We start from the raw sequence: 25,658 nt of genomic DNA, 5'->3' as shown, positions 1-25,658 counted from the left end.
TAAATTACATCAAAATTCTTGAAAATTGGATCCTGTTTCTCTTCTAATTTCTATTCTATTCCTATTTCTGAAATGTAATACCATGAATTTTCTTCAGAGTCTGATTTCTCATCAAGCAGTGACAATACCTATTGTGGTTGAATATCAATAAAATATTTATGACACTCTTATGTGCTCAGTGCCCATTTAGCCCTGGAGAAAACATAGAGATAGAAGACATCCCCTGACTTGAAGAACTTTACAATCTAACTTCACAGGAATGTAGGAAAAGTGTGGAAATTGTTCTGGGATTAGAAGTGGAGCTATAATGTGTGTAAGATGGGATTCTCTGTAATCACCAGTAGAGATGAAGAGCTGTCTGTCAATCGTTCACCCATTTCTTATCCTCTCATGTCTTAAAATCCTGCCTTCACCCTATATATTCCTCTAGTTACATTATTATCTTATTCTTCACCTTCATCCAAGATTCTTGGAAATCACTTACACAATTTTTCTTCTTTACTTTCAACTCAGGCTCCAGCCCACTGAAATCTGCAGCCACACTCACTACTCCTATAAAACTGCTGGTTTTGAAAATCATCAATGAGACTCCAATGGGTATGTTTCAACCCTTATCTTTTTTTATGTCTCTGCACAGTATTGCATGGTGAACTGCTTCCTCTTTGAAGCACCTGCTTTCTGTATTTTAGTGACAATACAGGCTCCTAAATTTCATTCTATATCCATGATCAACTCTTAGTAGCTTCCTTTAGTGACAACCCTTTTCAGACCATCTGTAAATGACAGAGTTCCTCAGGGGTAAGACCCATGGCTCCCTTTTCTTCTCACCGCATACTCAATTCCTGGGTAATGTCGTCTACTCCTGCAATTTCTAATAGACCTACATATTGGACTCTAGACATCCCAAAGGGGTGGCCGAGTCAAACTATTTTAAACTGAAAGCATCATTTTGTCTCTTAAGCCTACACTGATGGAAAAAAATGACTGATGCTAGGGTAACAGCTAACCTCTGATACACGTGGTTTAACACTTGGAAGTTTTTTTTCTCATGTACATCAATGCTCTCCCAGTGTAGCTTCATCCATCCTGTGGTCTTTTAGTATCTGTCACATGGTCAACTGAGTCAGAGCACACACATTAAACATCATGTAGCACATTCTAGTGATTAGGCTGCAACGGGTGGACATAACTTCTGGCCACACTCCAGCAACCAGAACTCAGTCACGTGGCTCCATTCTGATGCAATGAAGAAGGGGAAATATGTTTTTTCTGTCTGCCCAAAAGGTTCCTCCTTTTACACATACTTGGATATTGTATGGACTTTAAAGCCTGCCTTCCTCTGGAAAGTAGAAACCCTAAAGATCATTTTATGTTTCAAACAATCAAGTGGATTGTTTTTCGTATTGGTTTTATGGTTTATTTGTCAATATATTTATCTCAAAAATGTACTATGCTTCTGATTAATTTGCTTTATGTCTGTTCCAGGTACCAATAATTATACCCAAAGGTTTTTCTTTTGTTTTCTTTTTTTGAGGTTCAGTGATACATATGCAGGTTTGTTATACAGGTAAATTACATGCCACATGAGTTTGGGGGTACAGATTATTTTAACACCCAGGTAATAAGCATGGTACCTGGTAGGTAGTTTTTCGATCCTCAGCCTCCTCCGTCTCTCCACTCTCAAGTGGGCCGTGGTATTTGTTGTTTCCTTCTTTCTTTACATCCATATGTACTCAGTTTTTAGCTCTCACTTGTAAGTGAGAACATGTAGTATTTGGTTTCCTGTTTTTATGTTAGTTTACTTAGGATAATGGCCTCCAGTTACATCCATGTTGCTGCAAAAAAATGGTCTCGTTCCTTTCTGTGGCTCTTTAGTATTCCATGGTGTGTATGTCTATGTATATGTATATAGACATACAGATACATATGTCTATGTATCTATATATAGATATACACACCATGTGATTGAGATATATATATATATATATATTCACAAAAGCAAAGTCATCACCATTCTCAGTAGCAAAATCATTAAATCAGATATATATTTTTTCTTTATCCAGTATACCATCGATGGGCATTTACTTTGATTTGATGACTTTGTTATTGTGAATAGTGCTGCAATTAACATACATGTGCATGTGCCTTTATGGTAGAATAATTTTTATTCCTTTTTATAATCCTTAATTCTTCAGCAAACCCAGTAATGGGATTGTTGAGTCGAATAGTAATTCCGCTTTGAGTTCTTTGAGAAATCACCAACCTGCTTCCCACAATGGCTAAACTAATTTACATTCCCACCAGCAGTGTATAAACATTCCCTTTTCTCTGCAACCTTGCTAGCATCTGTTATCTTTTGACTTTTTAATTATGGCCATTCTGACTGCTGAAATGGTATCTCAATGTCGTTTGGATTTGCATTTCTTTAATAATTAGTGATGTTGAGCATTCTTTCATATGCTTGTTGGCTGTGTGTATATCTTTGTTTGAAAAGTGTCTATTCATGTTCATTGGCCACTTTTTAATGAGATTTTTTCTTGTTGATTTGTTTAAGTTCCCTATAGATTCTGGATATTAAACCTTTGTCAGACGTGCAGTTTGCAATTATTTTCTCCCATTCTGTAGTTTATCTGTTTACTCTGTTGATAGTTTCTTTTGCTGTGTGAAAGTTCTTTAGTGTAAATAGGTCCCATTTGTGAATTCTTGTTTTTGTTATGATTGTTTTTGCCATCTTTGTCATGAAATTTTTACCAGCCCCTATGTCCACAATGGTATTTCCTAGATTACCTTCCAGTGTTTTCATAGTGTTAGGTTGTACATTTAAATCTTTATTCCATCTTGAGTTCATTTTTGTATATGGTAAAAGAAAGGGGTACAGCTTCAGTCTTCTCCACATGGTCAACCAATTATCTCAGAACCATTTACTGAATGGGAGGTCCTTTCCCCATTGCTTATTGTTGTTGACTTTTTGGAAGATCAGATGATTGTAGGTGTGTGGCATTATTTCTGGGTTCTCTATTCTGTTCCATATGTCTATGTATCTGCTTTTGTAACAGTACCATGCTGTTTTGGCTACTGTAGCCTTATAGTGTAGTTTAGTTTAAAATCAGGAAACATGATGCCTCCAGCCTTGTTCTTTTTGCTTAGAATTGCCATGGCTATTCTAGCTCTTTTTTGGTTCCATATGAATTTTCAAATAGCTTTTCTAATGCTGTGAAGAATGTTTTTGATATTTCGATAGGAATAACAATGAATATGTAAATCGCTTTGAGCTGTATGACCATTTTAATGATATTGATTCTTCCTATCCATGAGTATGAAATGTTTTTCCACTTGTTTGTGTCATGTCTGATTTATATGAACAATGTTTTATAATTCTTATTGTAAAGATATATCACTGGTTAGCTATATTCCTTGGTATTTTATTCTTTTGTGGCTATTGTAAATGAGATTGCATTCTTGATTTGGTTCTCAACATGGATATTGTTGGTGTACAAGAATACTAGTGATTTTGTACATTGATTTTGTATCCTGAAACTTGCTGAAGTTGTTTATCAGATTAAGGAGCTTTTTGGCAGTTTTAGGTGTAGAATCATATTGTCTGCAAGTAAGGACAATTTGGCTTCCTCTCTTACTGCTTGAATGCCTTTTATTTCTTTCTCTTGCCTGATTGTTGTGGCCAGGACGCCCATGCTATGTTGAACGGTAGTGGCAAGAGAGAGCATCCTTGTTTTGGTTTTCAAGGGGAATGCTTCTAGCTTTTGTCCATTCAGTATGATGTTGGTTGTGGGTTTGCCATAGACAGCTGTTATTATTTTGAAGTATGTTCCTTCAGTGCCTAGTTTGTTGAGGGCTTTTAACATGAAGGGATGTTGAATTTTATCAAATGCCTTTTCTGCAGCTATTGAGATGATAATATGCTTTTGTTTGTAGTTCTGTTTATGTAATGAATCATATTTACTGACTTGCATATGTGGAATCAAACTTGCATCTCAGGAATAAGGCCTACTTGATTGTAGTGGATTAGCTTTGTGATGCACTGCTGGATTCAGTTTGCGACTTTTTTTTTAAACATAGTTCCAAGATTGGCTTTATATCTTTGATTTGTTGACTACATGTATTTCTCTTAGCATAATGGTGACCACCTTGAGGGTATATTAGCCTTGAGTGAGGATCACACGTCTTTAATTTTACCTTTGTTCTAAGACCCTCAATATTCACTTGAGAAATATAACTAATCCTTTGTTGCTAATACCATTTAAAACTCCATGTCTTATTATTTGGGGTCTATAAAAAGTCAAGTTCTTCAGCCCTGCAAGCCCCCAAATTACTGGTCTTTCTCTGTTCTCTCTCTGCTTGAAACATGGCCAAGTGTCTCCTGAGGTCTCCTCTGTATTGTACATTCTTGTTCAAGGCAGCCACAGACAACAAACATATACAAGGAAGGTTCTATCTAACAAACTCTACCTAAAGCTGCCAGTTCACTTGTGGCATATAGTTCACTTCTCACTTTATTGCAGGGAATAGTGTTTTTTTCTCCCCAATTTTTTTGCTACTGTATAACATGTATAGGCATTTTTTTCCCAAAATCTGATGCCACATTTCTTCCTGCTTGCTGCCTAATCACTAAAATTTGTCATATGTTTAAAGTTTTTTTTTATTTTTATTTTTTTAAAGTGTTATTCAAAGGTATCATCCCACTTTTATATTAGTCAGGATAACAATATATACTATTTAAAAAACAGTGGCATAGAAGTATTTTTAAAATGTCTCTTTCTCTGTCTTTCCCCAGTGCAAATAGAATCAAAAGTTCCTGATATAGAATAAGCAAATGATGGAAGAAGCCAAGTTTCCTGAGTGGCCACTAGGAAAACTCTGTCTTCTTTATCAAAACTATGAGGTGAGCAACACCAAGTCTTCAATTTTCCTATGCCATTGGGCTTTAAGATTTTTTAATATAAGCAGCTAGCATTAATTACCCTGACTAATAAATAGTACCTGTTAAAATCCTGCCTATTGCTTTAAACAATGCCACTATGAAACCGGTTACTTAAATCAGAAAAATAGGCACCAGTTTTCCCTTTTACCTTTTTTTTTTTTTTTCTTTGAGACGGTGTCTTGCTCTGTTGCCCAAGCTGGAGTGCAGTGGCGCGATCTCGGCTCACTGCAAGCTCCGCCTCCCAGGTTCACGCCATTCTCCTGCCTCAGCCTCCCGAGTAGCTGGGACTACAGGTGCCAGCCACCACGCCCAGCTAATTTTGTTTTTGTATTTTTAGTAGAGACGGGGATTCACCCTGTTAGCCAGGATGGTCTTGATCACCTGACCTCGTGATCTGCCCGCCTGGGCCTCCAAAAGTGCTAGGATTACAGGCGTGAGCCTCCGTGCCTGGCCGCTTTTACCATTTTTTATTCCCTTCACTTAATTACAGTGCCTCTGAAATGTTTGCATTTCTTTCACTACAAGTAAAATATCTGATTTCAGACTCCCAATACTCTTTTCAAAATTACAAAATCTCGAAGCAGCGTATCTTCCACCCCAATTCCTGATCCCCAATAATATATTTTTCATGCTGCAGCTTGAGTAATCTTTTAAGGGTCCAGCCTTGTCGGATCATTTTCCTGTTTAATCTTTCCATGGTGTCTATTGTAACAGCATGCGATCTTAATTATTTAGGTCAGTGTAAGGACCTTCCACGACCTGGCCCTTATTTTCCCCTTTACTTTACAATGTATTGAGTATGTTGGGATCCCCTGGAATTCTCTGAGCCTTAGCATATCCTCACCTTCTACCTAAAGCCTTCTTCATGACTTTATTGTTCCTACCATCTTCTTGTTTCATTTTATCCTTTGTTTCTTCTTGAATGTCTTCAATGACTCCCTAAAGTAGCTGCATTATATGTTTCATTATTTATCATCACAGAACACTGATCTCTTCTGTAACCACTGCTTTCTCATCAGTCTTTCCCTGAACCCTGTTCCTTATTGTTGGGAATTGGATTCTTAGTCACCATTGTCTTCTGAATATCTGGCACAGTGCCTGGGTCATAGTATGTTCAACACATACTGAGTAACTGAATAACTAACCCTCTCCTATTGTTTGAAGGTATGTGTCCTCCAAATTCTTATGTTGGAACTTCAGCCCCAAAGTGATTGTATTAGAAGGTGAAACATTTAAGAGATGATTAAGTCATAAGGGCTCTGACCTTCTGAGTGGGATTAATGTTCTTATAAAAGGGCTGGCGAGAACTAGCTATGCCTTTTTGCCCTTCTGCCATGTGAGGACACAGCAACAAGGAGCTGTCTAAAAAGCTGAGACGGAGCCTTCACCAGACACTGAATCTGCCGGCGACTTGATCTTGGATTTCCCAGCCTCAAGAACTGTGAAAATAAACTTCTGTTGCTTATAAATTACTCCGTCTGTGGTATGTTGTTATAGCAGCAGGGATGGACTAAGAAACTCTCTCTTTATATAAACAATTACTTGTGGAGAAGTCTGTATAATTACAGAGTAAAATCTTTAAAATCTCATGGGTTTATAAGTAGCCTTACCTGCTGTCTTAAATTCAAGATTCCCACATTTGCACCTCTTTAGTATATAGAATATAGACTATAAAAATAGTCTTGGCTATCTAAGGCTAGTGGCCAACTGTCTATTGCAGAGAAAGAGTGAGAAATTTAATATAAATATTCATTCTTACATATCCACTTCCTAGGCTAATTATCTATTTAAGAAACTTTGCCTTATTGCTACACACATACATTTATAAATAAAAGTACTTCTGCATTTTTCAAATATAAATTAGTTTTTTAAGACTTGCGTGCATACCTAAAAGCATATGCACCAGATATGTCCATATAAGCACAATTCCAATCAAAGAAAAAGACTGTACTTAAACCAACAGTAAGGCCTTAAATCAACTAGGAAATCCAATTCAATCATATTTCAGGGTTTATCATTTCAGTCATACAAACTTTATCCTGGACAAAAACTGATGTGGGATGTGTGTGTGTGTAGTTCTAAATATTGTAAGCAAATTTATTTAAATGAGCTCATCTGGAAATACTGAGTTCTATGTAATACATTTCTTTGTATTGAACACAATTGATTTCTGTGTGTCAAAACAATGAAAGTGGGTCATTAAAGCAATTATTGTTACTGTGTAATTTTACTACATAAATTACCAAATAAATAATATTATTGCAGAAAAACACAAGCTTACTATCTTTTTACTTATTTTCAAGTGAAAAGATGGAAGAGCTATTCCTATGTCCTGAAAAGTCCATATATTAGTTGAACATGCTGATATCTGATTCATGAAATCTCCATTGCTTCAGTACCATAGATGTGAAATGATTTTAAAGCATATTCACATTTGTCATCCTATGTTTTTATATTTAATAATTTTACTCTAATTTTACAGTTACTGAAACTGTTACATAGCTGTGCTGTTCTATATCTGGACATGCTGTGTATAACAGTATGTTATTTTTACAGGTACCGGACTTTATTCTCTAGATCTTTTCAGGGGCATGCATAGCTCTTAAAGCACCCATGCTCATATTCAAATCTTCTAATCTTTTCAATGGGACAGATTCAAAGATCAGTGGTTTTTATAAAAGAAAAGTCAAATATGATTATTACTGGTGGTTTATTTCAGGAATTTGGGAAAGGGCTTCTGTTTTACTCTAAGTATTTTCTTGCTGTACTTGAAAATGGCTCAATTCCCTTCAATTAGGGATCAATCTTTCTACTCCTATATATAATGTTGAAAATGTAAAGGTCCTTGAGTGTTGGAAACTAGTGATTTATAATGACTGCTATTTGAATAACTGTTATTGGTTTCTTTTGAGTTTTTAAGGAGAAAGAGAAGAGAAATTAGGTCATTGTACATGTGAAAAAACAGAAAGAGTAACAGGAGAAAAGAAATCAGGAAGGGATACCAAAGACAAGCTTCACAAATTCCATAACTTTGAAGTGAGAAGTCCACCGACTCCTGACTCTAGCTGATTCACAATCAGTAAAGGAAAAACTTCACATCTAGTGGTTTATTTTTTACTCCTCAAAATTCAACACATAGTTTGTCATTTTTGCAAGATCAGGTATCCTTTTGATACCACCTATAAATTCAATCATAGCATATTCATGTATCCTAACTCCTTCAGTAATGACTCAGAAAAATTGAAGTAATTCTTTGACCTGGTTTTATAATTTAACACTTTTTAACTTTATGTGCTTTTTGCTTCATAAAAAAAGATGCTTTGTTAATTTTTATCTGTCTTTAGAATCAAAGAGATTAGCAAGGTGAAAAGCAGAGCCAGGAGGACCACATTTTTACTGAGCACCAAGCATATATGCCAGGCTATGCATTTTACAATGCTCTAAAACTTTGCAAAGATATTTATAAAGTAGCTATTATTAGCTCCATTTTGAAAATCAACAACGAAAACAAAATAATGGTGAGAAAGTTTAATCTACTAGCCAAGGTCACACCATGAAGCTGCAGATCTCAATTTTGTGTGACTCAAAGCCCCTTGTGCTAGGAAGGCAGATGTCAGCAACCCTAGCTTAAAAAGAAGGTTTGCATCCCATAGACCTGGTGCTGATGCTGAATAGGAAGCCCAAAGAACAGAATAGAGCCAGAGCAGGAGGTATCTGAAATCTACTCTTAGTCTCCCATAGAGGCACAGTACACACTACAAACATAGCAAGGGATGGACCAATAAACAGAAACAGGTAAATTGAATCCTAATTCTACAAACAAGATCTCAGTTCTCTCAAATGTGTTGGGAACAGAGAACACACAAGATTTTAGCTCCTGCTGAGGGTGTGCAGGGAGTCCCTTTCTGGAATGATTTGCTATCTTCAGAAGAAGTACCTAGAGATGGAGTACCTGAGATAGAAATAACAACTCAGAGAGAATAAGACCACATCAAAGCATCACTCTGGATATTCTATGGATTTTTTTTGGCAGGTTATGTTTTGAGGAATAAAGCCTTCAAAAACTTTCTGGAATCATATTTGGTTCTTTATGACATCAAGGTCAAGGGTGGGCTTTGCACAGGTAAGTTAGAAGGCCTATCATAATGTCATTTCAGGGGAGGCCAACAGCCTCTTACATCTCCCTTGCTGGCTTTCAATAGGGCTTTAAATTCCCATTATGAAGAACCATGGCCTTTCTCAAGAGTCCATTGTTAAAATATATATTAATGTATAGTGAGTAAACTTGGATTATCTCTAAACACCTAAGTATAAATTGATTTGTAACCAAATTCATAAGGAGATGCCCCAAAGGAATAGAGTTAAGTTTTGGTTTGGGGAGAAGGATAAAATGTGTTGGCATTTGGTGCCTTGCCCAAGAGGGAGCACTGTGCTCAGAGTACTGAATGACTCAGTTGCCAGAACAGTGAAGGGAAAACCTCAAGAGAGAGAGGTGCTTGTTTCTGGAGGGCATGTGCAGGTGTTCTAAAGAGTCAAAATGAAAGAGGAGAGACTGCATAAAAAGACAAAATATATACAGCCTTCTATCTTTGTTTCATTTGCAGGTCTTTCTTCAAAGAATAAGCGTTTTTCAATTCCTTTATAACTTGACATAGCAAAAAGGCACACTGACAGAGAGAATTAGAAAAAAATTAGAAAATTCTTGTTGATTTAAAATGAATAATTCCTTCCTTCCTTCTTCCCTCTCTTTTCTTTTTTTTCTCTTTCTTTCTTTTCTTTCTTTCTTTCTTTTCTTCTTTTGCTTCTTTTTTTAAATAAACTCTGTTGACTACAGCCCACATCAGATTCTCAAGGGCAAAACATATAGAAGTATAATCTAAGCACCATAGTAGGTCTTAGCTAGACAACTCAAGTTCAAAGAGTATTTATCTTCTCCTAAGTACATTCTCAGAAAGAAAAATAAAACTCACATAGCATTTGTAATTGAGTACAAACAGCCTGGAGCTCCCAACTTAGCTAGCATTTACAGCATTTTGTTTGATCTAACATGATATACAAGTCAGCAGACTAGCTGTGAAGAGATCTCATGATCATAATTCCCAGGAATAAGGTGATTTCAAAACAGCTAGAGTAGCATCCCACGGACACCAGCTACCAAGGGGAACAATTAAGCCAGAATGGCATTCTATTCTGCTGCTACTTGCAGATTGCAAATCACAGCAGTTTACCCAGTAATTTCCCATCGATCAGCACTAGTGTCTTGCATACTAAAATATTCTTCACTGTAGTTTCCTCATCTGTCAGGTAAATTTTCAAACATAGGCTGCAAAGAAAGAACTGGGAACTGCTGATTCACAAAAAATGCAAAGTATTTGGGGTTTATTTGTGAACAGGATATTAACTACTCTTATTATTTTTTTCTTCTCTCAAAAAGGTTCCTGACCCTTGGAGATGAGAGTATAATTAAAACTGCAATTAGCAAGTAGATAATCAGGAGCGGTGAAAATACAAAAGAAGAAACTGAGAAGAGCTATTATGTTAAATCAGAATCTAAATATAGTTTTCTGTAGTCTAAAAATAAAGGAAGCATTCTATTAATTGTGGTCATTTTTCCACACATTTCTTCATGACAAAAATATGTAGAATAATCATAAGTTGTCCAATATTTATCACGTTCTGAAGGAGCAAAAAAATATGAGCATCACATATATAGAAATAAGTGAAAACCAACCAAGTAAGAAATGCAAAGTCTATTTATTCAGACCTTGCTATAGCAAGGGAGTAAGTCACTATTACTTGTGTTTTGGCAGAGACTCAAAGGCAGATAGGAGAGGGGGAAAGAAAGCTTTATAGTGAAACAAGGGGAAGGCTTCCAGTGTGCCCCAATGGAGCTATTGGCATGGGAAAGTGGTACGCAGGCCAAATACACGTGAGCCAACCTAGGTGATTGCTTGGAGCTACATATATGGTTCTCTGTGATTGGTCCTAAGTTAGAAGCAGGGACAAAAGTCGGGAAAGTTGTCAGTTATTAATCAAGGACTGGCCATTCAGAGCTGATTGTTATAGATATCATTGTTTAGCTTCCTGTGTTGTTGCTAGTGATAGCAATCTGGCTACCTGCAAGTCTGATTTATAGCAGGTTGGCTTTCTGGTTGTTTATTGTAGATAAAGGGTTGGTTTCCTGGGCAGATTCCTGCAGGCAATGAGTCAGAGTTCTAGTTTTGTATGTGGTCTGGTTATTATTCCATTTGTATGTTCAATCTCTCTCATATATTGAGATTACCAAACAAGAATACAATATTTTTAAGTTTTATAAAAAATTTATAGTTGATTTTATTATTTCAACAAGAAGCAAATGGTAATATATTAAGATGGACTCGGATCCTATAATACTTAGTAGAAAATGGACGTAACCTTTTAAGATATTCTCAAACATTACTCAAAAAATGTAGAAAACAAAATTAAATCAGTACTCTATAACTGTAGAAACAAAGATTGCACTTTTCATCGGAAAAACATTATCAGTAGTCCAGTATATAATGTGGGGTGCTGTCTTTAAAGGAATACATTCATCTCTGCTGTTTCCTCCTTTTCATATAATTCTTGTTTAATGCCTACTTGAATCTTCTTAAAGGTTTTCAATTCTTACCTTCTAGGTGGACTTGATTTTTTTTTTTATTTTAGTATATTTTATTTTCTCTCCAATAACAAAAAGCTATCTAAGACTAACATTGCTTTCTTGTATGGCTCTGAAGTGGCTCTGAATTTCAAAATAGAATTTCCCCAAATAGTTTGGCTACTGGCACATTAGCAGAAGCATGATGTTCCATCCCAAAGTGACCACATGGAAGGGGATCCCACACACTATTAATTTACTCTCTGAACAACATTACATGAGCATATGCCATGTGCAAGATACTGAACTAGCTGCTGGGGTTGCAGAGAAAATTTATATAGATTCTGGCTCAAAGAATTAAGAGTCTGATAGAGGAAGACAGACATTTATAATCAAATAGAAGTAAGTAATAATTAAAATCATTTTTTTTTGTAAAGTCATCCCAGTAGTGTTTGCGAGAATCAATGAGGTCCACAGACCAGAGAGGAGGGGACTGTAGTTCTCTGAGAGAGGGGGGTGACAGAACCTCAACAAAAACGGTTTAGGACAGATGATTTTTCAACTTGAGTTTTAAAATCTGACTAGTTTTTTGCCACTTGAATAAGACCAAGAAAGGCATTTAAGACAATGAAGCAGAGTAAGCAAAGGCATGGAGTCATAGAGTAGCTTAAAGCATTTAAATATAATGGCCTCAAAGAAGGTACACACTGAGGAGGGGTAAGGGTAAAAATGAGAGAAATAAGCAAGGACCACATCATGGAATGTATGAATGTCCTATTTAGCATTGTATACCTTATCTGGTAAGCGATGGGAGATCTTGGAGAATTTTAAGGAAGGTTATATTTTTTAAAATGGCTTTTTAGAAAGATGCATCCACTGTGGATACACATGCTCTTGTATATTTTTAAAATAATTTTGCTTCTTTGTAGCTCCTATAGTCACTAGGTGACAACTCCTCTGATGTTACAATAAGAATATTTGCAAATAAACTTCAAGACCAGAAAAAATTTGTATAGCAAAAATGAGATATCTAACATTTAGGGGGACAAAAATCACTCAGAACAGAACAGCAGAAAGCTGTCCCAGATAATGTAGAAAAGCAGTGAAAGAAGACAATTTAGAGATTATGTATTCCTATGTGTTATTTCATATGGACAGGATATTAAGCTAGGAATTGTGTTGAAAGCACCAAGATAGAAACGATAAAATGCACCAAAGTGAGCTTCCCAACACAATGCAAATTTCAAAAAAAAAAAAAAAAATCAAAGGAGTATAGAGAATAGAAGGATTTGGTTTGGAGATGGAAAGAATTTGAAGACACTTTCATGGAAGGAGGTGTTTCTTTGCTGAGAATTTCTTCTCCTAAGGGTAGAGGTAGAGAGTGTCTGCTTCTTACCTCAGGCTTGGAGAATGGAAATCCAATGTGACCTCTCTGAATATGTAATATGTGTCACCTGTAGGAGAAAAAGTGCAGTGAAATCATGCCAGACTGCAGACTGAAAATGCTAAAGACAAGAGACAAATAGTGGGGACAAATGAGGTATCTAACATTTAAGGGGAAAAAAGAGTTGGGGAAACTGGTGACCTACACTCTCAGCATTAACCAGGACAAAGATTGCATAAGCATTTCTTATAGCTCGACTGTGGGTTAAGCATGACAGAACAATAATGTGGCATTATCTTAGATCTTATCTAATAAGTTACTACAAAGGCTAGCAAGATAGAGCCCAGCAACATATTCAAGGTATTTCTGTCAGAATACAAAGAACCCATTAATAAAAAATGTATTGATAAATAAATCAGATAAGTAAAACAATTATCTACAATTTTTAGTCCAAATATGTCTCAAATATTGCATGAGAAATTATGTATTTTTTAAAAATTTGCTGTTTGGCCAGGCTTGGTGGTTCACATCTGTAATCCCAGCACTTTGGGACGCTGAGACTGGCAGATCTCTTGAGCCCAGGAGTTTGAGACCAACCCGGGCAATATGGAGAAATCTGTCTCTACTAAAAATACAAAAATTTGCTGGGTGTGGTGGCTTACCCTGTAGTCCCAGCTACTTGGGGGCAGCTAAGGCAGGAGAATCACTTGAGCCCAGGAGGTTGACTTTGCAGTGAGCCATAATTGCACCACTGCACTGCAGCCTGGGCAACAAAGTGAGGCCTTGTCTCAAACAAACAAATCTGCTGTTCATTCGAAATTCAAATTTAACTGGGCATCGTCTCTCTGCAAACTCACATCAGCATTGGACATTAGCGAGACTCAACATAAAATCAACATGTGACCGTATGCCCCAAGTACAAACAATTGACAAGGAAAGATGGTATTAAGTCTAAAAGAACCTGTGTCATGTCTTCCAAAAAGCAGAAGAGATCTATTTGCAGTAGGAAAGAATGAAGCTGAGACTCAATGGAACAAGTTGAGACAGGTAATTTGATTTCTTAGATTCACAAGACCTGAAGTTCAACCCCACCCCTGTCCTTCTCTTTTATCTAAGCCAAAAATATATTTTATTTGTTTATTTCTTTCAGCCAACTTAAATTGGGCTTCAATCACTTGTAGCAGTAATATTCTGTATTAGTATAGTCCTCTTCTGAGCTGTTATACTTGCAATATTCCATTAAATCCTCAAAGCAACCTTGTGATGATATAATATGTATCACTATTTTACAAATGAAGAAACTGAGGCAGACTGAGTAAGTAACCTATGAACATTTATGTTGGCAGTGGGAGAAAGAGCCAGAATTTAACTCAGTTTCCAGCATCAAAAGCCTAGTCTCCCAACTGCAATACCATACTGCCTTCTATTTTCCTTGCAGTAAGACAGTGCCCTATGTCAGCCAAAATGAGTCTTCCTGGCACCATTTGAGTATGTTGTGCTCAACCTTGTATTTTACACATGCTGTTTCTTTAGTCTTGTTGAGGAATCACTATAATGCTGAAAACAGAAAAATTTTGCTGAGTAGTTTTCAATGAGAAAATATTTAAAATTCACTGCTAGTTACATTAGCTGCAGCTATTATATTAAACTAAAAGTCATTTAGACCACACATTGATGATGGCAACAGGTGATACTCAATCTTCTCTACCTCAAGCCTTCCATTGTATGTTGCAAGCTTTTATATTTTTTTTTTTGACTAAAACATTCTACTCTAATGTTATGTGATATATTTGAGAGCACAAAGTAAATGGTGTGTTCTTAGGGAATATATTAACAAACACTTAGATGTGCACCATTCCAATCTGTTCGAAGCTTAGGTATAGTCAAACATTTCAAAATAGTTACCAGGCAATGTACCATAAGGAACCCTGGGAAGAATTCCACGTAGAGGACAGGAAGGGCAAGGACTGGGTGAGATGTGAAAGAAGGGGGTAACTCTGTGTATGCTAAAAGCATAAAGTAGGCTGATTTCAGCATAAATATCATTACTTGTGGATAAACACCTTTCTCAAATTCCCAGTCCACATTAGCTTTTCAATTATACACTATCTTGTTTGTTTTAGTTTTTGTTTTTTTTTTTTTTTTGAGATGGAATCTTGCTCTGTCGCCTAGGCTGGAGTGCAGTGGCTCGATCTCAGCTCACTGCAACCTCTGCCTCCTGGGTTTAAGTGATTCTCTCGCCTCAGCCTCCCAAGTAGCTGGGATTGCAGGCACCACCACCCTGCCCAGCTAATTTTTGTATTTTTAGTAGAGACGGGGTTTCACCATGTTGGCCAGGCTGGTCTCGAACTCCTGACCTCAGGTGATCTGCCCACCTCGGCCTCCCAAAGTGCTGGGATTACAGGCATGAGCCACCATACCCGCCCCAATTATATACTATCTTAACAAGCTGTAGTTCTCTTTTATAGCATTTACTTAAATAATTAACTGACCAATTACATATTTGTTTTCTGTGTCACCATTAGATCTGACTGCAAGTTCCATGCTCTTAGTCATTGTGTGTGTCTAATTGCAGAGCTTTATACTTGTTGAAGAAAAAGAGAAAGCAACAATGGTGGGGAGGTTGAGTCATGCAGGTGATGGCATAGGGAAGTGAATGAAGACTACTCCCCATGAGGTCTGGGGATATCAGTGGTGACACACTGATTTCAGTTGGATTATTTGCTTTGTCTCAGCATGAGCAGTCCACAACCTGTTCTTTCATTTTATCTCCAGCAGGACTTCTCACACTACCTAACCAATGGATAATTTCTATCAAATTGCTACTCTGCACTTCTCACTCAACTCCTATTATTGTTTGTAAAATCAAGATGGCATATACTTAAATCAGTTTATTAACACACATCATACAATGAGATGATGCTTTGATCTAGTATTTGATGACTCGTTGCCATTTACTTCTGGGTCCCATATCCAAGGAATTTCAGGACAAAAGCATATTATTTGCTCTTAATAGATATTGAACCTGGCTTTATATTACAACAATTTATTCATCTTTAAATGTTTGCTGTACGTATTACCCTTCCACAAACTATCCCTATCCTTTCTAACACTCGCTTCTCTTCTCATTTCCTGTAGCTACTCTAGTGAGCAACACTTCTTCAGTGTTCTTCATTCCATTGCATCTCTAAGCAAGCTCCTTTTTAAATATCTCTTCACTTGTTTCATTATTTATTCACATGCCTTTCTGGCTATTTTTCTCCCCAGTCGTTTCTTGTCTCTTTCCTATCTCTCTCTGCTTTTATTATAAAATCATTATTTTCAAACTTCATGTTTACCACATCCATATCCATGTTAATTTACAGTGCTCATGCTAAGTAAGAAGAAACAGGAGTTTAAATGATCAAGTGAAAAGTCAAATGCAGGAAGCTGAGTGCACACAAAATGAGCATACCAGAGTTCATGTAAACAAATATGAAAACAATAAGGATGAGGCTACATAGAGAAGAGAGCAAGTCAAGTAGTCAATTGTCCATGAAAACAGTCTACAACCACAGAGAAAGATGAATGGTAGAAAGTCTTATTAAAATAATCAGTAAAGATGTTTCCAGAAACAGAAAGAATCAGAAATACTAATGGCTCCAGAAAAGTCCACAGCAAGAATAGTTCCTGATGCTGAATGTTCTTCTGCCCCAGTCTCAACTGCAGTCCTCCTAGAATCCTAGTCAGCCAGCTTTGGATGAGACTATCTCATGTGCAAATCACCTTTAGCAGTAGATACAGCACACCTAAGAGGAGGAGGAGCATTCCATACAAGAAGGAATATTCCGTAACACTGAATAATAATCATATATTTTCCCACTTTATTAAATTAAGCTGCCACCTTAAGAAATAGGGAGAGGAATTACAATTTGGAACATGTCAACATTAGAAAAGCTAACCTCAAATAATCTTAGTCTTTTGAATATCCCTTCAAAAAGATCCTTTGGCCCCTAATCCCTTGTCTAAACCAAGCTGTGTTATCACTAAGAAATGGGCTCTTACAGAGAGAGCTTCCACCTCCAAAGCTCTAATTTGACTTGTTATTTCATCAGGACGCTATAATGATTTATATAAGGCACTGTGAAAATGCCATGTTAATTTAACCAAAGACTCTGATTAGTATTGGAGCTACGTTTTTCTTTTTTTAGATTTTACCCCACAATATTCCTCTTCTATTTCTAGTATAAGAATTCTTTATCAAATTTGGTTGATTCTGTTTATTTTTACTGTGAAATAAAAATATATTTCAGAAAAGTATACAAAATGTGTGAATGGTTCAATGAATAATCGCAAAGCAAACAACTGGATAATCATCATCCAGGGAAAAAAGCAGAGCACCAATACCTTCTGAACAATGTTTCTTCTTTATCACTACTCCCTTATTCTCTCTTAAAAAAAAGTTTGCGTACCCCTACCATACTAATTATTGTATTCTGTAATTTGATATATAAAATTAATAATCAGTACTATTTTGGATAAAATATTGTGTTGTTTTCATGTTGGGATATTATGAATTAATCTGTTGTGAGCATTCTAGTACCTGTCTCATGGGATATATGTTGTGGGGTGTAAACTCAGGAGAGTCTTTATAACTTTAATAAATAATATAGAACAGCTTTTAAAATAGGTGTGGCAATTAACACTCCCATTAGCAGGGTGTGAGAAAACCCAGTGCTTGTCTTCCTCTCCAATGAATTTTATCCAATTTAGTGTGTGTGTGGTAGTACTTAACTCTAAGTTTAATGTTAGTTTTTTATTTTAATTGGTCATTAGGATATTTTCACTCCTAAAATGCCCATTCCAGACTGGCACAATATTTATTGGGCTGTCTTTTCTTTGAGTTGTATCAGATTTTATATATTCTGAATTCATTCCCTTTACCAGTTGCATGTATTTCAATTATCTTTCACTCTGTTTACCTTTTTATTTCTTAAGAGAAAGTCTTAGAGTTAATGTGGCTACATTTCATCAATTTATAAAAAGTTTTTTTTTCTCTGCCCAAAAGTCATCACGGTACTTGACAATATTTTTTAATATAACTTCTTGAAGCTATATTTTTCAAATTTTAATATTTACTACAATACACCTGGCATTGACTTTTGTCTATATTGTGTGGTAGGGATCAAGGTTCATTTAAAAATATACATATCTAATTTTTTTTCTTTTTTTTTTATTATACTTTAAGTTCTAGGGTACATGTGCACAACGTGCAGGTTTGTTACATATGTATACATGTGCCATGTTGGTGTGCTGCACCCATTAACTCATCATTTACATTAGGTATATCTCCTAATGCTATCCCTCCCCCCTCCCCCCACTCCACAACAGGCCTTGGTGTGTGATGTTCCCCTTCCTGTGTCCATGTGTTCTCATTGTTCAATTCCCACCTATGAGTGAGAATATGCGGTGTTTGGTTTTTTGTCCTTGCGATAGTTTGCTGAGAATGATGGTTTCCAGCTTCATCCATGTCCCTACAAAGGACAGGAACTCATCATTTTTTATGGCTGCATAGTATTCCACTAGCAAAGTTAATTAACAGACTATTCTTTTCCCCAAGCTTGACAGTGCTAATTTGATTTTAATGTCCATGTGCAAGTATCTGCCACGAAACGAGTAAAATCTAATAAGTTAATTGCACACATGTATTATAATCTAAAATTAATACTTCTAGAAAAGCATGTATATTTATAAAAGACATGCACAAAAATATTTCAAAATAGCATTGCTTTTAATAGGCTTAAACTTAAAACAACCTGAGATCATAAGCTTAGAGTAAATAGTGAATGGGAAAGAGGATAAGAAGAACTTTGAGTTACTGATAATGTTCTTTTTCTTTACTGCATCATTTTTACATAATTCATTTTGTAAATATTCATCAATTAGAATATTGACAATGCTAAGTGTTACTTTTCTGAATCTATGTTATGTCTTGGTTTAAAAAGAAGTTTATTTTTAAAAATCAGTAAGATAGTGCTCATATACGTGTTTATTTTGGTATGACTTGCATCAGTTTTGAAATAAATAAAAATGCTTTGGTGGTATAGGTTAAAGGACACAGGGAAGTCTTCATCTCTGAATTGTTTCCTCATTTGTATAGTGAAGAAGACTGGAGCCTCAATAGTCCTGTCCAGCTCTTGTATTATAAAATTCCATTTACCTGGGTAACTAAAGCAGAATTGGAAACCTGCTTTGTGCCTGTCCCCACAAAACCTCTCATTTTTATTTGTTTCTTGTGCTATTTTTTGTCAGCTTCATTGTTGTCCTATCTCAATGAACATTTTCCATAATAGCTTTCATCTTGGAATAATCAAAACCTAGTTTGTTTTAAAAAAGACAAAACCACTTCAGTGTTTCTCAGTGGCATGTGTGACTGGCCATCTGGTTGCATTCACAACTAGGGCGAGATGAAGCTTTCTCGAGCTTATTAATTCAGTGCATGTCTTTCTTGGAGAAGTTGGATGGTCATATTTAATTCCCAGTTTCATGTCAACACTCACAGGGAACATTTGGCCCTTTTAAGTTAAAGCACATGCCCATCTCTTCACTATTTCTTAATGATGAGGCAGAGTTTGTTATGCCAGTAGATGTCTTTTAAGCACATCAAAAGAAAACATTTATACTGCAATCTTCTCTATTTATTACCATGATTTACAGCCACACATCCACCCAAATACCAGATTAATATCTGTCCTCATGCCCTTAGACCTGTTTTAGAAGTGCAATAACTTTCTAACTACATCATGGCCTCCAATTTCTCCTTGATTTAATCTATCTTGTATTACGCTAGTACGTTAATCTTCCCAAAGCGCAACCTTCAAAATCCTTCAGTGTCTTCAAATGTTTTAGTTTATATCAGAGCTCTTAAAACTTTAGTGAGGAAAAAAAGTTGCTATGGAATAGGCACTGCCTTAAAAGGCAGATCCCGTGTCCCCCACTTGAGATGTTGATTCAGTCAGGTAAGAATGAGGTCCAGAAATCTGCCCTTGTTTCCCTGTCCAATTTAGGAAAACTGAGGATTACTCCAGGTATTTACACAGGCGTCTCTCTGCCCTCTGTGAATAGGGAGATTACTATTTACAAGTGAACTTTGTGCTTTGGCCAGGCATTCTAGAACACTGAATTTTTGGCTGCCAAGAAGTCAGCTCAGCAGATTCTTCTAGAAAACTTCAGAACTTTCCCTTAGCTACTGCAGTAAAACGAACTAACTTGAAACATAGCCAAGAAAAAAAAAAAAAAAAAACTAAAAATCAACAAGAAATGTGACAACATGGGCTATTTCACAGGCCTGTTTCCCAGAGGTAAGAATAGGAGACTGAATAATTTCTCAAAAAGTGACAGCTAACTGGGGCTCCTCAGTGACCCCTTCAGGAAGAATCAAGAGTTGATTTGGTGCCACTGAAGGGACTAAGAAACCCTTATGGTCCTGCAGCAGTCATTGCAGCTCTTGGAATAATGGAAGGAAGCTCCATTAGGGATCAGCAGTGAGACATTTGGAAAACAATGTTTTATTGTTTTGAGATTTCTAGTTTCTCATTTCTTCACCCAAGAAAATCACCCATGAAGAGATATATACATTATCATCTCACATGGAAAGGGAAAGAACATATGGGAAAGACATTTGAATTTTACTTTAAGCCCAAAGAGAAGGGGAAACTAGATTTCCCATGAAGAAATGTGGTGAGAATTGAAATAAACAAGATGTATCATGTGATTCTGCCCATACCATCTATTCCCATTTCCTCTGCCTCATCCACTTAATTCTTTTCTTCTGCAACCAAATAACATGTAATTCATTTTTACATGCCAGCTCTTTCATTCTTCATGTATTCCAGGCTCCTTACTCTGCCTGGAATTTTGAACTGAGTGTGTACTCATCCTTCACATCCCAGTTCAAGCTTCCATTCTCAATCTAGTCCTCTGAAGCCTGCTAGACATAACCAGTCATTTTTTTCTCCATTACCATCTGTTAGCATTTTATCATTTATGCATACTTATTGTGCTGAATATAACCCTATACTATGATGATTTGTTTTACCCACTAGACTGATTCTTAAGGATACAGTCTGAGCCTTATAATCTGTATATTCCTCATTAACTGTATAATCTGTATATTCCCTCTGTGAAAGTAGAGCATGTCTATTTGTTAAATTAAAGAGAATTGAAATAACTAAGAGGTACAAGTTCATCACAAAACACCCAAACACTAGCCATGCTTTCAGTTTTTAGCTAAAGAATAACCTTTGGGAGATATAAATAATGTATCCTCTACAATGGCTAAGACAGGGGACATACAGTAAGTTTTCAAAAACAAATATTGACTGACTATATAATTCATTGATTAGCATATAAAATGACATTGTGAGTTTAATTAAATTGACCAGATAATAAAAACATAAATGATCAATTCATACCATTAATGAATACGAATGTTTTGATTTTCTGTGCCAATAGACTAATAGATGCATTAGTCCAAAAAGGCAAAATTATTAAAGTTTTCATCTTAAGATAATAATAGCTTACTTATATTGACTACTTGGAATAGATGAGGCACCATGCTAAACATTTCATATGCATCATCTCATTTAATATTTATAATAAGCTGATGATAAATATTCTGTTACAATCTTCATTTTGGGGAAACTGTGGTTTAGAATGGTTGCATAACTCACACAAGATCATGCAGCTGAAGAGAACACTGTTACCGTATGCAACCCTCAAATGTTACTAAAAACTATACACAAAACAATTATCAAACAGCAAAATTATTGAGAAGAAAGGTAAGATCCAATGTAAATTATATAAATATTTTTCATATAAAATAAAAATTGTATTATTAAAATTTTCTTTGATGACTCTTAGTTTAAAAGAAAACATTCTTTTGCATGTTTTAAATCATTAAAAATTAATTCTGTGGATTTTTTTCAAATATGTATTTGCATTTAAAAGCCAAATGTCAAAGACTGTTAAATGGCCAGTTTTAAGAGGTATCTCTACTGGAACTGATATTCTAATAACAAAATATACTTTATCTTGTATTGGAAGACTCATAAAAAGCCCTTCTGGCTGGTACAATATGACCACATTCAAGGAACTAAAATAAGTTGTTTCTGTACATATCCTCCCAAAGAAAACAGATAAAAGTATGGTGTTCTTCTAAGCCCTTGGGCTTCAATAGATTTTCACAAGCTAAAGGAAATGGGAAGGTGTTACCAAAATAAAAACGTACTATGTCATTTTTTATGGCATTTACCAAGTAAGAGCCCCAAGTCAGAGATTATAAATTATCTGAGTTCTGTTAATATGAACATTCATCTCACATGTCAAACTTACAGCCTTGAAGTTGGATTCCTATAACTGCACTTCCTAGTAACTGACCCCTCCATTCCCCCCTACATTTTCATGAAGAATTCTGGTCTGGTTGTTACCCATTGACTGGAATGATAACACATTCACTTAATTCCTCACTATGGATTACCAGGAAATTTCACAGTATCACAGAATTAGGCAACTTCCTATTAATCCATATCAGAGAACTTAATATTGAAGTAAAAGTCTTATACTGGCAACATTAGCAAAACAATTAATAAATCTAATTAAAAGAAAGTATCTCATCAACCTGGTCAATCTGTTTCATCCTATACAAATTTTTAGAATAATTATTTGATAGTGTTTCTGTTGACACAGTTGCAAAGATTTTTTTGATAAAATTTTTATTTTGATATAATTTTAAACTTAGAAAAAAAAATGTAAGGATAGTACAAGAAGCTCCTGTGCTCTTTATGGGGATTCATCAACTGTTTTACATTTCACCACATTTACTTTTTTGTTTGTTTAAATATAGGTGGAGCATCTAGGTACTCTGTCTGAGTAAAGATAATGCTCACTCCTTAATCTTTCTTTTCAAGTCTGTCTCTGGGGAAGTACAGTGGCTGTGTGGGTTTCATCTAACTCCTGCATGCTGACAACCCCCAGGCAAGCACAGTCATGCAAGACCTCTCCACTCAGTCTCTCATTTATAACACTTGGCATCTGACTTTCCACTCCTAGGTAAGCTAAGCACCTCACATTTATCATTTCCAAAACGGAATATAATATCTCTCTCTACTTGTTAATCCAAGCCACATCTGTATACCCTATCTTTATTAATAGTGTCAGAGGCTTTCAAACCAAAGGGACTCCATCTTAAGTAAGGGCTAGAAAAATGAGGCTGGGGCTTACTGGGTTGCATTCTCAGAAAGTTAGGCATTCCTACCCTCTAGATGTTTATGGTTAAGGGAACAAATTAATAATATTTACTAAACAGACACAGTCTTGGGAGTGTCCAAATATCCTGCTATCTGGAGAACAAAGGGCTTCCTAATTTTGCTTTAAAGATAATAATATTGATTCTTGCAAAATATAGTCATTCAGAAAATTAATCCTTTATCACAAACCCTTGTAGCAGAGCACATCTCCCCATATATACAAGCGTTGTACCTAGGATGGATGTATTCCTCCTCTTACTTTCGGGAACTTCCTACTCTGTCTATGCGGTAGCTTTCACTACTTTACTCTCTTAATAAACTTAGTTTTACTTTGCACTGCGGACTCCCTGAATTCTTTCTTGCACAAGATCCAAGAACCCTCTCTTGGAGTCTGGATCAGGACCCCTGTCCTGTAACAATAGTGTCAGTAATTAAAAGAGTTAATTCAATTTATAACCATCAATATGGTCATTCTTGACATCTGTGTCTCTTTTATACCTCACGTTTCTGAGAACCTAAATTTCATCCTCTTAGATTTACATTTTTCTTTCCATCCCTGCTTTTACTGTCTTAGATAAAACTCCCTCCATTTCTCACAGACTTAAAATTAAGACTCTCTCATGCATTCGCCTTATATATTGTCTTTTTTACCTAAAATCCTTTCTCAACAATGTTATCACAGTGATCTTTCTAAAATTTCAGAATATATGTCATCATGTTACTCCTCAGTTTTCTAAAGTTTCTATGGCTGACTATTGCCTAAAGGATTAAATCCAAAGTCCTGAGACTGCTACATGGTGCCTTTCAAAATCCGGCACTTGTTTCCTTTCCAAATGGATACACTTATATTCCTCTCTCACATCCATGAATGCTAACAACTAGATAAATAAAATCATGCACCATTAATTGATCATAAAATTACATTGAAGCACACTCAAATTCAGCTTCCGTTAAAACTAAAAGGCAGAAAACCCATTCTCACAATACTTTCCCTCCTAGGAAACTTCAATTTATCATATGAATTGGGGCTCAAGTATCACCTCCTTTATACAGTGTTTTCTAAATTTACCTGATGCCATTATTTAACTCCTCCTCCATACAGTCAATGTACCTTACCTATGTCTGTCTTTGTTTCTTGTCACATTATAATGCTCTTATTTATTATGTGGCTGTTGTTCCATTAAACTGTGAGCTGCTCAGTGGCACTCTGTCCTCAAATTCTAGCTCACTGCTTGCCCAGAAGAATCGCTTAAGACATATTTTACAAATACTACCAGTAATACGAAGAGCTAACCATCACTGAACCGTTAGTGTTTTTCAGGAACCACAAGCATTATCTCATTTCATCCTCCCAAAAACTTTCCAGGAATAGACCATCATGTGCTACTATTAACCCCATTGTAAAAACAAGAAAAATGAAGATAAGTCATTTTTTTTCTGATCTTACACAGATAATAGCATTATCATCAAAACTCAATCATAGATGTACTGATCCAGTGCTGTGGCTGTTAAGCCCTTCAATATAATAAGATGATTAATATAAATCAGTCCTTCTTGTACTTCAAGGGAAATTTCTTTTCTTCCCAAACAGCAATATCCTTGACATATCTCTCTATCTACCCATGAAATAAAGGTCTGTGTTTCAAAGAATATCTCTCAGATTTCTAAATATTTTACTCCCAATAGCTTTATCACTCCTTCAACTTTTTACTTGCCCTGGTTTACCCAGTCAAGATAGAAATTTTGAAGCTTAGGGTTGTTCCAATTGTAAATAGTTGCCGTTCAGATCCTGATTTTGAATCTGATGATTCATTCAGGTCTTTAAACTATTCAACTCAATGTTTCAATTATTACTAAAAACAATGAACTGAATGGCTCTTCAAAACACTCATCTACTTTTTGCCACACCATGGGAGCAATTCTTCTCCTAAGAAAGACTTAAGAGGAAAATCTGCAAGGGGTAAAGGGGTTTTGCTGTTAGCACTAATTTTAAGGTCATGGTCTGCACACAGAATTTGGAGAAGGAGGAGTTGAATTCAGCAAGATCCAGTAGTAAGAAATTAACTGTTGATAATCCCATCCTAAATAATTGCTTAACTTAGTTTCATCACTAGTTCTCCCAAAACCAGTTTGTATATGTAGACACAACTTAAATGTGTTTGGTTTCTCAAATTTCTCTCTATCCTTGTAGACTTTGAAGTGAGTTACAAGCTTAAGGCCATCTACATTGGGAGTTCTCATATTAGGGAACCCAGGTAAAAGCAAGTAGAGTAGTATTTCTAGTACCCCTCTACCCATGGTTTTGCTTTGTGCAGTTTCAGTTACCTATGGTCAATCACAGTCCAAAAATATTAAACAGAAAATTCTGGAAATAAACAATTTGTAAGTTTTAAATTGTGTATTGTTCTGAGTGGTGTGATAACATTTCATACT

At 35.9% G+C, this 25,658-nt stretch overlaps 2 long non-coding RNA genes across 2 annotated transcripts in view; one reads left to right on the top strand and one right to left on the bottom strand.

The window, feature by feature from the left end:
- The window catches only part of LINC00907 (long intergenic non-protein coding RNA 907), a 504,759-nt gene that overhangs the window by 35,499 nt on the left and 443,602 nt on the right, over positions 1 to 25,658 (bottom strand). The gene's annotated exons all lie outside the window — the stretch shown is intronic.
- Positions 4,793 to 6,411, top strand: LOC124904351 (uncharacterized). The gene is made up of 2 exons (XR_007066454.1): positions 4,793 to 4,900; positions 6,104 to 6,411. It is a non-coding gene; the product is annotated as an uncharacterized LOC124904351 (long non-coding RNA).

Source organism: Homo sapiens, chromosome 18 (genome assembly GCF_000001405.40).
Source record: "Homo sapiens chromosome 18, GRCh38.p14 Primary Assembly".
Lineage (NCBI taxonomy): Eukaryota > Metazoa > Chordata > Mammalia > Primates > Hominidae > Homo > Homo sapiens.
The sequence above is the reverse complement of the archived record's forward strand: the minus strand, read 5'-3'. Positions and strand labels throughout refer to the sequence as shown.